A 16,551-nucleotide genomic window follows, 5' to 3' on the forward strand; every position below is an offset into this window, starting at 1 on the left:
TTAAAGATATCAATGAGTGAAAAAATGGTATCATAAGAAAACCAAGCCGGGCACAGTGGCTCACATCTGTAACCCCAGCACTTTCAGAGGTTGAGGTAGGTGGATCATTTTGAGGTCAGGAGTTCAAGACCAGCCTGGCCAACACGGTGAAACCCCGTCTCTATTAAAAATTCAAAAATTATCCACCTGTAGTCCCAACTACTCAGGAGGCTGAGGCAGAAGAACTGCTTGAACCCAGGATGCTGAGGTTGCAATGAGCCAAGATCACGCCACTGCACTCTAGCCTGGGCAACAGTGAAAAAAAAAAAAAAAGAATATCAAACTTACTTAGTACTAAAAAAGCACTGAGTGAATGGCATACCATTGATTACTACAACTGTTTTTAAAAGAAAAGTATTACAATATTACAAACTCTGTATGCATAGACATGTAATATAAGAAACAGAAAAAAATGCACTAACAATTTTACTGAAAATTTTCATTGAGTACATTACATTCAAGAGACTCTGTTAGGGGGCATAGGATATTTTTAAAGTATCATTAATTCTTTCTAATTGCAAAAAGTTTAGGTTGGGAATGGTGGCTCATGCCTGTAATCCCAGCACTTTGGGAGGCCGAGGCGAGTGGATCACGAGGTCAGGAGTTCAAGACCAGCCTGGCCAAGATGGTGAAACTGCGTCTCTACTAAAAATACAAAAATTAGCCAGGTGCAGTGGCAGACGCCTGTAATCCCAGCTACTCGGGAGGCTGAGGCAGGAGAATTGCTTGAACCCAGGCAGGTAGAGGATGCAGTGAGCCAAGATTGCGCCACTGCATTCCAGTCTGGGTGACAGAGTAAGACTCCGTTTCAAAAAAAAAAAAAAATTATTATCTGGTTAGTGAGAAAGGATAGAAACAGTACAATACTATAAGCAAGTGCCAGAGACATGTCAGAGAAGAAAAAAATCTCTCAAGGGGCAGGGTAGCCCAAGATGGCTTTGTGGAAAATGTGGAGCTTGAATTGGATCTATTTTTGTTTTGGGTTTTTTTTTTTTTAGATGGAGGTCTCCCTATGTTACCCAGGCTGGCCTCGAACTCCTGGGCTCAAGAGATTCTGCTACCTCAGTCTCCTGAGTAGCTGGTATTATAGGCACGTGCCACCACACCTGGTTTAAACTGAATCTTGAAGGATGAAGAATGATGAGAACAGAAGAGAAACTATAGGTAATGAGAACATCATGAGCAAAGGCAAAATGATAAGAAAAATATTTGTTTACAATGAGAAACATGTATGTTGAACTGTGAAATATGAGTTTAAAAGGGGATGAGACCAGTTAAAAGTGAGCCATAAATGTCAGAATGAATGTGAATATGACACAACCAAACATATACATACAACCTTACCTGCTCCAATTCCCAACAATCCACGAGCAACCAGCATGTAGTATTTATTATGAGAAGCTGGGATGTGGAGATATGCATAGAGGCAGTTGGCTGCCACGGAAATCAAGATGGAGACAATAAGAGGCTCTTTTCTTGGTCTATAATTAGACCATAAACCAAATATAGGTGAAGCTACCATTTGGCCAAGACTATATGAAGCAATAACCCAGCCCAAAAAACTTGTATCAGCTGTCGGATCAATCTGCAGAAAAAGGTACAGTGCTTTAAGAATTGTTATCCAAGAAAAGTTTAAAACTAAATACATTTGTCATACCATGTAAGATTTCCTATCAAAAAATAAAAACAATTCTAACGTATAAGTTTTATAACACTATTACTTATAGTAAGGGATTCAAACTTCTGACAATACAATTAAATGTGCTAACAATAGACTGTACACAAGGGAAAAATGCTTGGGAGGCTCATTTTTAAGAATGACTGGAAATTTTTGGTTCATATAAACCTTGGTAAGAAGATAATCACACACACTATATACGCATATAGCAATAACATCATGAAAAATAATATAAGCTATTCTTTAATTCTTGTAAATAGAATTCTTTAGACTTATGCTACCCTATACGTTAAACAGCCATTAGCGCTGTAAATCATTTTTTTTAAAAAAACTAGGCACAAGAGTCAAATGCATAAAGAAGATAATAAAAACACAAAAGATGATAGACAATTATCTCAATAAACCTGTTATAAATTCTTCCGTTCTATATAGACCACTCAGTATTCTACCACTTTAAAAGGGTTTACATATCATGATGAACTTAAGGGGAGAACCAAATGACTACAACTCAGAAAATAAAATACTTTCAGAAAAATAGAAAATGTTAGCTTAGAAAAGGCACTATTGTTTATTTTTATTTTTATTTTTTTTTTGAGACAGGGTCTCACTCTGACATCCAGGCTGGAGCGCAGTGGTCCGATCACGGCTCAGTGCAGCCTCGACCTTTGAGGCCCAAGTGATCCTCCTGCCTCAGCCTCTTGAGTAGCCAGGACTACAGGTATGCACCACCATGCCCACCTAATTTTTTTATTTTTGTAGAGACAGGGTCTCCCTATGTTGCCCAGGCTGGTCTTGAACTTCCCGCCTCCAACTCTCAAAGCAATCCTCCTGCCGCGGGAGGGAGGAATTCTCCCACCTTGGCCTCCCAAAATATTGGGATTAGTGGCATGAGCCACCGCACTCAGCCAGATTACTTTTTTTCATATGTGGTAGGCTAAGCCAGGCGAAGTGGCCCATGCCTGTAATCTCAGCTACTCAGCAGTCTAGAGTAGAAGGATCCCTTGAGCCCAGGAGTTGGAGGCTGTAACACACTATGACTGTACCTGTGAAAAGCCACTGCACTCCAGTCTGGGCAACATAGGAAGATTCTATCTCTAATCTTCCTATTTAATGGCTTTTATTAAATTTTAGGAAATAAATTTAAACAAATATAGATAAGTGGTAGAACAATTTAATAAGGAAAACTATGACCTTTTGTTCCCTAAAGATATTTATTTATTTATTTTATTTTATTTATTTATTTACTTTTGAGACGGAGTTTTGATCTTGTTGCCCAGGCTGGGGTGCAATGGTGCGATCTCAGGTCACTACAACCTCTACCTCCCAGGTTCAAGCGATTCTCCTGCCTCAGCCTCCCAAGTAGCTGAGATTACAGGCATGTGCCACCACGTGGGCACAGCTAATTTTTATATTTTTTTTAGTAGCGACGCGGTTTCACCATGTTGGCCAGGCTGATCTCTTAACTCCTGACCTCAGGTGAGCTGCCTGCCTTGGCCTCCCAAAGTGCTGGGATTGTTGGTGTGAGCCACCGTGCCTGGTAATTCCCTAAAGATATTTAAAGTGAAAATATTTAGGTGCGTTTTTCTTTATGAAAAAAATAAGAAATAATATGCAAAAGTATAATGATACATAATATTTAAAGTTCTAGCCGTTAAAATATCTTTCATTTTAGGTACTCTGGTTTTCATTTTCTTCCTGTATTACCTTTAGCTTCATTTGTCATCTCTACTAAAATAGAAAATAATAATTTCATGTTACATAAAATTTTAATTTTCAAAAAAGCAATGAAAACTCAATTTTAATGTTAAATGTGTAGTGGTTTGAAAGCAAAACTTTTTTTTTTTTTTTTTTCTGAGACAGGGTCTGGCTCTGTCACCCAGGCCAGAATACAGTGGCATAATCTTGGCTCACTGTAACCTCAAACTCCTTTGCTCAAGAAATCCTCCCAACTCAGGCTCCCAAGCAGCTGGGACTACAGGGAGTAGCACCACCATACCCAGATAACTTTTTAAATTTTTTTGTAGAGACGAGGTCTTATATCGTTACCCAGGCTGGTCTTGAACTCTTGGGCTCAAGCAATCCTCCCAACTTGGCCTCCCAAAGCGCTGGGATTACAGGCACGTGAGTCACAGCACTGGGCCTGATAGCAAGACTCTTTAAAGAGTTTTCAAAATATCTGGAGAAAAGAGAGTACTTTTCAAAACTCAACATAGTATGCTGAGTAGACCTAATCACTACTAATATCCTTCTTTTGAGAATTTTGACTAAAAAGACTAAATGCCAAGAAATTAAGAATTTTGATACATGAAAATATCTTTTTAGTAGAGAAGACGTTGCTCCAGAATTGTGCCAATTCCAATGACTACCAGCATGGAAAGAATTTTTAGTGTAATGGGTAATAATTTCATGTAATATTATTTTCAAAATAGCAATGAAAATATGGCACTAAACCAGTAAAAAGTAAAATTTGTATTTCTTTTCTTCTTATATTCCTTTAAAAATATATTTTAGGAGAGCATTTTCAAAAAGTAGAAATTCGTAAAAACTGGGCTGGGCATGGTGGCTCACACTTGTAATGCCAGCACTTTGAGAGGCTGAGGTGGTGGGTCACCCAAGGTCAGGAGTTTGAGACCAGCCTGGTCAACACAGTGAAACCCTGTCTCTACTAAAAATACAAAAATTAGCTGGGCGTGGTGGTGCACGACTGTAATCCCAGCTACTTGGGAGGCTGAGGCAGGAGAATCACTTGAACCTTGGAGGTGGAGGCTGCAGTGAGCCAAGATTGCATCACTGACCTCGAGCCTGGGTGACAGAGCGAGACTCCATTTACAAAAAAAACCACAAAAATTAAAAAAAAAAACAATCCTAACAATCTAGACAATCTAGTAGGGGAGTTAAGTAAACTCTCTGTAAATACAGTGTTAGGACACTCCATATTAAGGGCTAATGATAAAGGGAAACGGGAGTATACAGGAAAAGCTTCTGACCCAAATTGTTGTGAGGGACAGTGAGAGAAGCCTTTCCAGGCCAGGTGCAGTGGCTCACATCTGTAACCCCAGCAACTGGGGAGGCTGAGGCAGGATCACCTGAGGTCAGGCGTTCGAGATCAGCCTAGCCAACATGCCGAAAACCCACTTCTACTAAAATTATAAAAATTAGCCAGGAATGGTGGCGGGTGCCTGTAATCCCAGCTACTTGGAAGGCTGAGGCATGTGAATCGCTTGAACCCAGGAGGTGGAAATCCCAGCACTTTGGGAGGCCGAGGTGGGTGGACCACCTGAGGTCAGGTAGAGATCAGCCTGGCCGGTATGGTGAAACCCCGTCTCTACTAAAAATACAAAAATTAGCCGGGTGTGGTAGCTGGCGTCTGTAGTCCCAGCTACTTGGGAGACTGAGGCAGGAGAATCGCTTGAACCCTTAAGGCAGAGATTGCAGCGCACCAAGATCACGCCACTGCATGCCAGCCAGGGCAACAGAGCAAGACTCCATTGCAAAAAAAAAAAAAAAAACAGAGAGAGAGAGAAGGCTTTCCAGAGGAGGTGACACTGGAGCAAAACCTTGAAGAGTGAATAAAAGACAGTGAGGAAGGAGAAAGGGGAGAGCAAAAGAAAGATGGAGAGAGGAAAAGCATTCCAGTAAAAAGGGAGACAAATGTGTAAAGACCTGAGGAGCCTGGGTTCATCCAAGTACCATGGATTTATCTAATAAATTGTTGGCTATACATCTAATATGGGACAAAGTTCAGAATCTAGGATAAAACACACATATGCACGTGTGAACACACACACACACACACACACACACACACACACACTCTCTCTCCAACCTCATAGAAAAACCAACAAGGGATAAACTGATAAGGAAGAATACACAAAAGAATTTAAGAATAAGTCATTAGAGTTAAGAGGAAAGCCAGGATAGAGAAATGTCACAGAAGCTAAGAGGTGGTGCCATGGTTTGAATGTGTCCCCCAAATTTCATTTTTTGGAAATTAATATTTAAATTAATATTATTAAAATATTGAAAGGTAGGACCTTTAAGAAGTGACTGTGTTACATTAGGTAGCTAGTTGGGTATGAACAGGGCAGGAGAGGTCTCCCCTGCCCCTCACATGGGGAGTGTGGAGAGACTGTTAGGTGATGGTCAGGCGGTTGTTAACGCTCTCTAAAGTAATTATTGGTCACAGCTAGTGCTAGGAAAAGGCAGCCTCCTAATAAATAGAAAACACCTGGTAATTAGCAGCTTCCTGATACGATCTCAGGGGTGGGGTGAGTGGGGAGAAGTAATGCAAGACCCCAAAATTATGCCAGTGTATGAAATCCCAAGTCAAAAGGTCAAACCGCAGGCTTGTCTTTCAAGTTGCCCACTTGGCCCTCTTCCAAGTGTACTTTCCTTCTTTTCCTTCCTTTCATTCTTGCTCTAAAGCTTTTTAATAAATTTTAACTCCTGCTCTACAACTTGCCTCAGTTTCTCCTTCTGCATTATGTCCTTTACTTGAATTATTTCTTTCAGGAGGCAAGAATTGAGGTTGCTGCAGACCTGTACAGACACAGATCTGCCAACTAACAATTGGATCATGAAGGCTGTGCCCTCATGAATGAATCCATTTATGTATTAATGGGTTATCATGGAGTGGAACTGGTGGCTTTATAAGAGAAGGAAGAGAGACCTGAGCTAGCATGCTCAGCCCCTTCATCATGTGATGCCCTACACTGTCTTGGGACTCTTCGGAGAGTCCCCACCAGCAAGAAGGCCCTCACCAGATGTGGTCTCTCAAACTAGGACTTCTCAGCCTCTGTAACGGTAAGAAATAAATTCCTTTTTTAAAATAAATTATCTGGTTTAGGGTATTCTGTTATAAGCAACAGAAAACAGACTAATACAGGTGGTTTCAGGAAGTAAGGAGAGGACAACAATGTCAAATCCTATCCAGGTGTCACCTAAAATAAGGACTGAAAAGTATTTCGTGATCAACAATTAAGTAATTGGAAACCTTACAAGAGCAGTTTCAGGACAGCAGAAAAGTTAATCAGATAGCAGTAGGTTAAGGAGTAGGTTAGGAAATACAGAGGAACTCTTTAAGAACCTTTACTAAAACATTGTTATAGATGAATTATGTAACCAACTTATATACTGATTTTTAGTTAAGTTTCTTCCTGGAGATTTAAGATAGAACTGACAGGACCTGATGATCAACTGATGTTAAGCTACCTAACAAACTTACATATTCATGTCACCCCCTCTTCCCCTTCTAGTAATAACAGCATCAAAAAATACATATGTTCTAGTCTTTACAATGTTACCTGATAGCCCAAATTAATTTTATGGGAAAAGCGTTAAATTATTCCACAAAAATATCATTTACACACTTTAGGAATTCAGACTATTACTAGTTTCCTTTTTATTAGGGAAGAGGTAATGATGGAATATGAATGTGGCTTCTGAGTAGGTGACCATACATCTACCTTTGCCTGGGACTATCTGGGTATGATCCTATTTTTCCTTACGTAGCAGTCTCTTCACTACAAAAGTGTTCTGGCTTGCACAATAAAGCATATGGTCACATTACTTATAAGCCTCTTTTAAGGAACTATTATCTCATTATTCTTGTAAAGATTAAACCATAGAATACCAAAGAGACTCTTTAGAAAATGCTTAACTACGTAAGAGTTACTACTACTGTAGCTATAAGGGAAAAATAGATTGAAATGTACAAACCTTTTGGAGATATGGCCATATGGACATCATCACTACAGAAAACCCTGTGAAGAAGCAAACTAGGTTATTTATACTTATAATAATTTAATCATTATTACAGATACAATTTTCTGAACCGTGGCATGGATTTTAAAATATTCTGAACCTAAAATCTATGCATACAAATGCCTAATTTATGAGGCAATGAGATTTTAATTATCAGAAGAAAAATAAAGACTAAAAGAACATACAATTACAGTCCCTCATCATAATAACAAATACAAAAAAGCAGAGGATCTACTTCTCCATACTCATGTGCTTTTACTGTAAATGGAAATAACCAAAAGCTTTGTTAAGTTTTTATAGCAGAAATGAATGGAGGAAAGGCTATTTTGTTAGACAGGAAGTGCTAGGCTTCTATCCTGTGTTGTTTGGAGGAGATAATTGACTGAAGGGAAGAGCAGGAATAAGGAAAATGATCATCTACAGGGGGGCTATAGAAAACCAGAATACTTCAAGATGGCCATACCTTAAAAGAAAATTCACTATTTCTGCTAGCCTTTACTACATGAAAACTATAATGATTAACTCCAACACTATCTGTCAATTTTAAATGTTAGGCAAATGCAGCCAGCAGTGACTTATGCCTGTAATCCCAGCACTTTGGGAGGCTGAGGCAGGCAGATTACCTAAGGTCAGGAGTTTGAGACCGGCCTGGCCAACATGGTGAAACCCTGTCTCTACTAAAAATATAAAAATTAGCCGGGCATGGTGGCACATGCCTGTAATCCCAGCTACTTAGGAAGCTGAGGTAGAAGAATTGCTTGAACCCAGGAGGCGGAGTAGGTTGTAGTGAGCCAACATCGCACCACTGCACTCCAGCATGGGTGACAGAGCTTGACTCCATCTCAAAAAAAAATTAAAAATGAATAAATAAATGTTGGGCAAATCAAGAAATTCTATAAAGCCTGTTCTTCAAAATGGCTTTACTGAGGCTGGGCACAGTGTCTCACGCCTGTAATCCCAGAACTCTGGAAGGCCGAGGTGGGTGAATCACTTGAGGCCAGGAGTTTGAGACCAGCCTGGCCAGCATGGAGAAACCCCTCTCTGCAAAAAAAAAATACAAAAATTAGCTGGGCATGGTAGCGCATGCCTGTAATCCCAGCCATTCAGGAGGCTGAGGCAGGAGAATTGCTTGAACACGGAGGCGGAGGTTGTAGTGAGCCAAGATTGCACCACTGCACTCCAGTCTAGGTGAGAGTGAGACTCTGTCTCAAAAAAAAAAAGGAAAAAAAAGAAAAAATAAATTTAAAAATAGCTGTTGAGATATATAATTCCCATATCATACAATTATGCATTTAAAGTATACAATTCAATGGGTTTTAATATAATCACAATGGGTTTTAATATAATCACAGATATGTGCAACCATCATTACAGTCAATTTTATTTGATTTATTTATTTTTTGAGACAGAGTTTCTTGTCGCCCAGGCTGGAGTGTAGTGACCCGATCTCGGCTCACTGCAACCTCCGACTCCTGGATTCAAGCGATTCTCCTGCCTCAGCCTCCCGAGCAGCTGGGATTACAGGCTCCTGCCACCACAACAGGCTAATTTTTGTACTTTAGTAGAGATGAGGTTTCACCATGTTGACCAGGCTGGTCTCGAACTCCTGACCTCAGGTGATCTGCCTGCCTTGCCTCCCAAAGTGTTGGGATTACAGGCATTAGCCACTGCGCCCAGCCATTACTGTCAATTTTAGAACACATTTGTCACCTCAAAAAAAACTCTATACCCTTCAGCTATCACCCTGTTTCATCCCCTCTCCTGCCAGCTGTAAACAACCACTAATGTACTTTGTTTGTACTCTATAGAGTTTTATCTGTATTTTCATACAAATAGAATAATATAATACATGGTCTTTTGTCTTGTCTTCTTTCACTTAGTATTTTTTTTTTTTTTTTTGAGACAGAGTCTCGCTATGTCACCAGGCTGGAGTGCAGTGGCGCAATCTCGGCTCATTGCAATCTCCGCCTCCCGGGTTCAAGCAATTCTCACACCTCAGTCTCCAGAGTAGCTGGGATTACAAGCACGTGCCACCACACCCAGCTAATTTTTTGTATTTTTCGTAGAGATGGGGTTTCACCATGTTGGCCAGGATGGTCTCAATCTCCTGACCTTGCAATCCGCCTGCCTCGGCCTCCTAAAATGCTGGGATTACAGGTGTGAGCAACCGCGCCTGGCCTTAGCATTATATTTTCAAGATTCATCCATGGTGTACATGTACATTCCTTATATAAACCCTATTTTAAAACATAATTTAATTATTAGCTTCATTTCAGGCCAGGCACGGTGGCTCATGCCTGTAATCCCAGCACTTTGGGAGGCCTGGGTGGGCGGATCATGAGGTCAGGCTATCGAGCCCATCCTGGCTAACACAGTGAAACCCTGTCTCTACTAAAAATACAAAAAATTATCCGGGTGTAGCGGCATGCATCGTAGTCCCAGCTACTCGGGAGGTTGAGGCAGGAGAATGGCGAGAACCCGGGAGGCGAAGCTTGCAGTGAGCAGAGATTGCGCTACTGCACTCCAGCCTGGGTGACAGAGCAAGACTCTGTCTCAAAAAAAATAAATAAATAAAAATAAATAAATATTAGCTTCATTTTAAAGTATTTTGAATTGACATAGTTACTTTGATCAGTAAAGGACTGAAAGCACCAATTAATCTTTTAAATCAAGGCTACAATTTTGGAGTACAGAAATTTGTAAACAAAATGTTTAACATGCCAATTAAAATCTAAAGTTGGCCAGGCACAGTGGATGATGCCTGTAATCCAAGCACTTTGGGAGACTGCGGCAGGCAGATCATTTGAAGTCAGGAGTTCAAGACCAGCAATGGCAACATGGTGAAACCCCGTCTCTACTAAAAATACAAAAATTAGCTGGGCGTGGTGGCAGGCACCTGTAGTCTCATCTATTCAGGAGGCTGAGGCAGGAGAATCGCTTGAACCCGGGAGGCAGAGGTTGAGGTGAGCTGAGATCGTGCTACTGCACTTCAGCCTGGAAGACAGAGTGAGACTCCACCTCAAAAAAAAAAAAAAAAAAAAAATCTAAAGTTAAAATAATTTTCTTTTTTTGCTGTTGAATTTGAAATTGTTTCTTATAATTTTAGATAATTGAGTACTAAAAACCAGAAGTGTTTAAAATGGAAAAATAAATCAATTGCAGGCATTGCTACCAAAACAGTATCCATTGGCCCCTTCCACCTTCTTGATGGAACCCCAGTTCTATTCAGGTATCCATACTTCCTCAACAAAGCCTCATGGTCTAAGAGAAACTCTCTCCATGTTCGATCCCAGAGGGTACATTCTGATTAGTCTAAAAAATTCAACTGGAGTAATCCCATCATCTTAGTTGATGTTGGTTTAGAAATTTACAGGTCACACCTGTAATCCTAGCACTTTGGGAGGCTGAGGCGGGCGGATCACCTGAGGTCGGGAGTTCAAGACCAGCCTGACCAACATGGAGAAACCCCGTCTCTACTAAAAATACAACATTAGCTGGGCATGGTGCCGCATGCCTGTAATCCCAACTACTTGGAAGGCTGAGGCAGGAGAATCGTTTCAACACGGGAGGCTGAGGTTGCAGTGAGCCAAGATCGTGCCACTGCACTCAGCTCAAAAAAAAAAAAAGAATAAATTACGTTACAGTATAAGCCAACTGATTCAGCACTTTTTCTGATATTTGCACAAGGCATTCTGTTTTTTTTTTTTTTTTTTTTTTTTTTTTGAGACGGAATCTTGCTCTGTGGCCCAGGCTGGAGTGCAGTGGTGTGATCTTGGCTCAGTGCAACCTCTGCCTCCTGGGTTCAAGTGTATTTTTAGTAGAGATGGGGTTTCACCATATTGGCCAGACTGGTCGCAAACTCCTGACCTCGTGATCCGCCCGCCTCAGCCTTGCAAAGTGCTGGGATTACAGGCGTGAGCCACCTTGCCTGGCCCTGCACAAGTCATTCTAACTGATACACAATGCAAGGTGAAAATGTATTATAAAGAATTGTTGAAAATATCCTTTATCATTCACTTTTCTTTTTACCCAGTACTGAATCATGCACAACTTTGGCAAGTGAGAGAAAACAGGATGATTGGGGTAAATAGAAAATATATGGAAAATATATGGAAAGCAATTTAGTAAAATGACCTTCCTTAATTCCTCTCAGGGGAAAGAGACCACTTGTAATATTAGTGCCTATAGATTTAGAGGGTTTCTACTTGGAAAAAAATTCATTTCCTAAAACAGTCCTTTAAAAACTATCACAATATTGATCATTCCTATATATTCTCATCCCATCCTTTTAACATGGTTATAGATGTTTAATATTTTGAAAAGTTTTCCTCATGAAGTTTTACTTTTTAGTAACTACATATTCAGAAATAATGTGAATAGGTTAAAATACATCAAGCAATACAAATTGAGATTCTTGTATTTTACTTTTTGTATGTTTTATCAATATAAAAATAAGTTGAGGTTAGAGGCAACAAAAGATAAAAACAGCCAGGTGTGGGGCTCATGCCTGTAATCCCAGCACTTTGGGAGGCCAAGGCAGGTGGACTACCTGAGGTCAGGAGTTTGAGATCAGCCTGGCAAAAATGGCAAAACCCCGTCTCTACTAAAAATACAAAAATTAGCCAGGTGTGGTGGCACACACCTGCAGTCCCAGCTACCAGGGAGGCTGAGGCACAAGCATAGCTTGAACCCGAAAGCGGGAGGTTGCAGCGAGCCGAGATAGTGCCATTGCACTCCAACTTGGGCAACAAAGCAAGACTCTGTCTCAAAAAGAAAAAAACAGAGAAGGTGGACTACATCAGTATTTAACACTTCTGTGAATGTGAATCACAGGATACATTTAGCACACTGAATAGAAGAGTCCTGGAATGGGAGAAAATATTTACAAATCATATATTGGATAAGGGGCTAACATTCAGAGTATATAAAGAATTCCTACAACTCAACAACAAAAAATCCAACTAATAAATGGGCAATGGTCTTGAACAAACACTTCTCCAAAGAAGATATACAAATGGACAGAAAGCACAAGAAACATGTTCAACATCACTAATCATTAAGAAGATGCAAATCAAAACAAGATACCATCTCATCCACTAGGATGACTACTATCCAAAAGAAAGTTAACGTTGGCAAGGATGTGAAAAAATTGGAACCCTGACTGTTGTTGAGAATGTAAATAAAATGGTACGGCTGCTATGGAAAACAGTATGGCAATTTTCCAAAAAATTAAAAAATTAAAAAGAAAATCATAATATGATCCAGCAATTTCACTTCTGGATATATACCCAAAAGGACTAAAAGCAGGATCTTGAAGAGATATTTGCACACCCATATTGACAGCAGCACTATTCACAACAGCCAAGAGGTGGAAGCAACCCAAATGTCCATCGACAGATAAATGGCTAAACAAAATGTGGTAGGCCAGGCTAGGCTGTAATCCTAGCACTTTGGGAGGCTGAGGCCGGTGGATCACGAGGTCAGGAGTTCAAGACCAGCCTGGCCAAGATGGTGAAACCCCATCTCTACTAAAAATACAAAAATTAGCCGGGCATGGTGGTGGGTGACTGTAATCCCAGCTACCTGGGAGGCTGAGGCAGAGAATTGCTTGAACCCCGCAGGCGGAGGTTTCAGTGAGCCAAGATCACACCACTGCACTCCAGCTTGGACGACAGAGCGAGACTTTGTCTCAAAAAAAAAAAAAAAAAAAATGTGGTATATACTGAAGGCAATCAGAGTATGCTACTCCAAAAATCTGCTGTTTTGCCATATTAATTATCTCAAACTGAAGGCAACCGAGAAATAGCAGATGCAGGAAGGGTTCTCTGCTCTCCCCCTTTCTGCCTGAATGCAGAGAATAGATTGAATTTTGTTTTGTTGTTAATTCTTTGAGGCACAATTGAGATTCTGTTACCTACAATCTGTCTTGGGACATTAAGACACAGGTATAATTAAGACTGTATATTTAAACTTAAGAAATTTTGCACTGGCCAGGCGGGGTGGCTCACGCCTGTAATCCCAGCACTTTGGGAGGCTGAGGCGGGCAGATCATGAGGTCACGAGATCGAGACCATCCTGGCTAACGCCGTGAAACCCCATCTCTACTAAAGATACAAAAAAATTAGCTGGGCGTGATAGCGTGCGCCTGTAGTCCCAGCTACTCGGGAGGCTAAGGCACAAGAATTGCTCGAACCCAGGAGGCAGAGGTTGCAGTAAGCCGAGATCACACCACTGCACTCCAGCCTGGGCGACTCCACCTCAAAAAATGAATAAATAATAATAAATAATAAAATTTTTTTAAAAAGAAATTTTGCACATCTTCAAGAAGTAGCAGAACAAATAATTGACTGATGGCTGTAAAGATGAAATACTTTTGGCCAGGTGCGGTGGCTCAGGCCTGTAATTCCAGCACTTTGGGAGGCTGAGTCTGGCAGATCACGAGGTCAGGAGATCAAGACATCCCGGCTAACACAGTGAAACCCCGTCTCTACTAAAAATATAAAACAATTAGCGTGGTGGCGGGTGTCTGTAGTCCCAGCTACTCGGGAGGCTGAGGCAGGAGAATCACGCGAACCTGGGAGGCGGAGCTTGCAGTGAGCCGAGATCGCGCCACTGCACTCCAGCCTGGGCGACAGTGCGAAACTCCGTCTTGAAAAAAAAAAAAAAAGAAAAAAGATGAAATATTTTTAACTGGGGGCGGTGACTCACGCCTGTAATCGCAGCACTTTGGGAGGCCGAGGTGGGCAGATCACCTGAGGTTGGGAGTTCGAGACCAGCCTGACCAACATGGAGACATCCCGTCTCTACTAAAAATACAAAATTAGCCAGGGGTGGTGGCACATGCCTGTAATCCCAGATACTTGGCAGGCTGGGGCAGGCGAATCGCTTGAATCTGGGAGGTGGAGGTTGCAGTGAGCTGAGATCGTGCCATTGCACTCCAGCCTGGGCAACAAGAGTGAAACTCCGTCTCAAAAAAAAAAAAAAAAAAAGATGAAATACTTTTGTGAGTACATGAAAGTGTTAGGGACTCTTAGTAGTTGTCTAGTTTCGTTTGTATGTACATTCCTTAATGTTATTTGTTTCTTTTCATTAAAAAATATTAACATCAAATAAATTTGTATACTTTTTTAACTGTTAGTCTTTCTTTTGTCAGCTTAATTCACAAGCCTTAAGCACATAGGAGAATAGAGGAAAAATTTCTCCTACCCTAGAATACATATAATGAACTATACAGCCTTTAAATAAAAGGAAATTATCACAAGTGCAACATGAACCAACTTGAGGACATTGAGTGAAATAATCTCATCACAAGAAAAAAAATACTATATAATTCCATTTATATGAGCTATCTAGAATAGTCAAATTCCAAGAAACAAAGTTTGCTAGGGCTTGGGGGATGGGAAAATAGGGAGTTGTTTAATGGGTATAGAGTTTCTCTTTTGCAAGATGAAAATGTTCTAGGGATTGGTTGCACAACAATGTGGATATACTTAAGGCTATTGAACTTAGATATGGTAACACGGTAAATTTATGTCACGTATTTTTTAGCACAATAAAGATAATTTCAGAGGCAATGAAAGTAAATGAAGTAAATGAAGTTAAAATATGACATCTGATCTGAATTGTTAAAATTATGTATTTCTAATACTTACCTACACTGCTGAGAAACATAGTAAGATATAAAATCCTAATAGATCTCCATCGGCTCTTATAATGCTCTTCAGTCTCTAAAATGTCCCATTCTCTAGGTGTAAAGAAGAAAAAAGTAGTATAAATTTATCTCATTACATGTGGATCTTAAGTGTCAACAGTTTTATTCTCTAGTTATGAAAATGATGTGATAGAGGTAGAATTTACCAATATTGATTCTGCTACACTAATTTATCTATGAATAAGCATTATTTTTTTGAATTTCCATGGATTGTATATATGCATTATTGTATACAGAAATTTGGGAAACAGTATAGTTTTAAAAGAGGAAACTTTTTGCAAGGCAATTATTTTGCTACCATTGACATGCACAGATTTATTAATCAAGAGTGTTGCAATTTGTAAAAATGAATAAATTACGTCAAGATAAATCAAATAAACTAGCTACAACTAGATCCCCCGTAGCTACTAAGTACTAAAAAATAATAACTGTCATCATTATAACATGCTCTACTTGATGACAGCAAATTAAATTGCTGCAGGAAGCTCTTTTGGCTTCCTACTTCAGAAAACAGGAATGATACCAGGAAGGTTTAACGTAACCTAAGACATTTTCAGCCCTGGGACCTCCTAAATGGGTTACCAGATAAATTTTATCAGCAGACCAAAGAGAGACCATGACTCCCCAGACTTAAGTGATCTTTTGGATAAGCGTCTGATCTGGACCAAAGGCATGTATACTAAGTAGATATCTTACCTCCATTAGGTGACACATGAGTCTATATACTCATTACATTTTCACACACACAATAGAAAGAGTTAACAAGTTCACCTTAACGTGAGCATTATCTTTTCAAATAATCAAGACATGCAGAACAGACAAAATGCCTTCTTATGTTCCAAGATTAATTTCTTAAAAATAAGCCTTAGAACTGTCAAATTAGTCTTCAAAAAAGAAACTTTTTTTTTTCAAACGTGATATGGTTGGGAGTGGTAAAGAGGAAAGGAAGAAGAGAAACAATGTTTTTAGATGTATTATATGCCAAACATATTAGTTCCTAATATATTTAAAGTGTTTAACACTATATATGTCATTCCATATAAACAAACCTCTTCTGAGTCAAAGGAGATAAGAAAAAAATAAAAATAATGTAGCTTACCTGAGAAAAATACCAGAACCCTAGATGCCCATACTTTGAAATCAATATACTAGAATTTGAATAAAAAACCAGATATATCTAAGTTAGGGAATCAAGAAGTAAATTATTTGATTCTAAAAAAATAATAAAATTGTTTGAGTGACTGATTTAGAGCTCAGACAAAATCTTTCTTCTTTTAATGACAAATGACAATTATTAAATATTGAAAGGATAAAATTAGAAAATAATAATTTAATGGCCACTTTCTATGCTATAATGGAA

General features: G+C 39.7%; 1 protein-coding gene across 22 annotated transcripts in view; it reads right to left on the bottom strand.

Annotated features, from left to right (window-relative positions):
- The window catches only part of MFSD8 (major facilitator superfamily domain containing 8), a 48,232-nt gene that overhangs the window by 24,637 nt on the left and 7,044 nt on the right, over nt 1–16,551 (bottom strand). For 21 of the 22 annotated variants that reach the window (XM_024453982.2, XM_047449993.1, XM_047449992.1 and 18 more), the window contains 3 exons: nt 15,133–15,224; nt 7,436–7,479; nt 1,384–1,624 (listed from right to left, as the gene is read on the bottom strand). In XM_024453982.2, the coding sequence (XP_024309750.1) occupies nt 1,384–1,624; nt 7,436–7,479; nt 15,133–15,151 (304 nt within the window). In that variant the 5' untranslated portion in view covers nt 15,152–15,224. The remainder of the gene's footprint in view (nt 1–1,383; nt 1,625–7,435; nt 7,480–15,132; nt 15,225–16,551) is intronic. The other variant, NM_001371595.1, reaches the window with a different exon arrangement.

This window comes from Homo sapiens, chromosome 4 (assembly GCF_000001405.40).
Source record: "Homo sapiens chromosome 4, GRCh38.p14 Primary Assembly".
Classification (NCBI taxonomy): domain Eukaryota; kingdom Metazoa; phylum Chordata; class Mammalia; order Primates; family Hominidae; genus Homo; species Homo sapiens.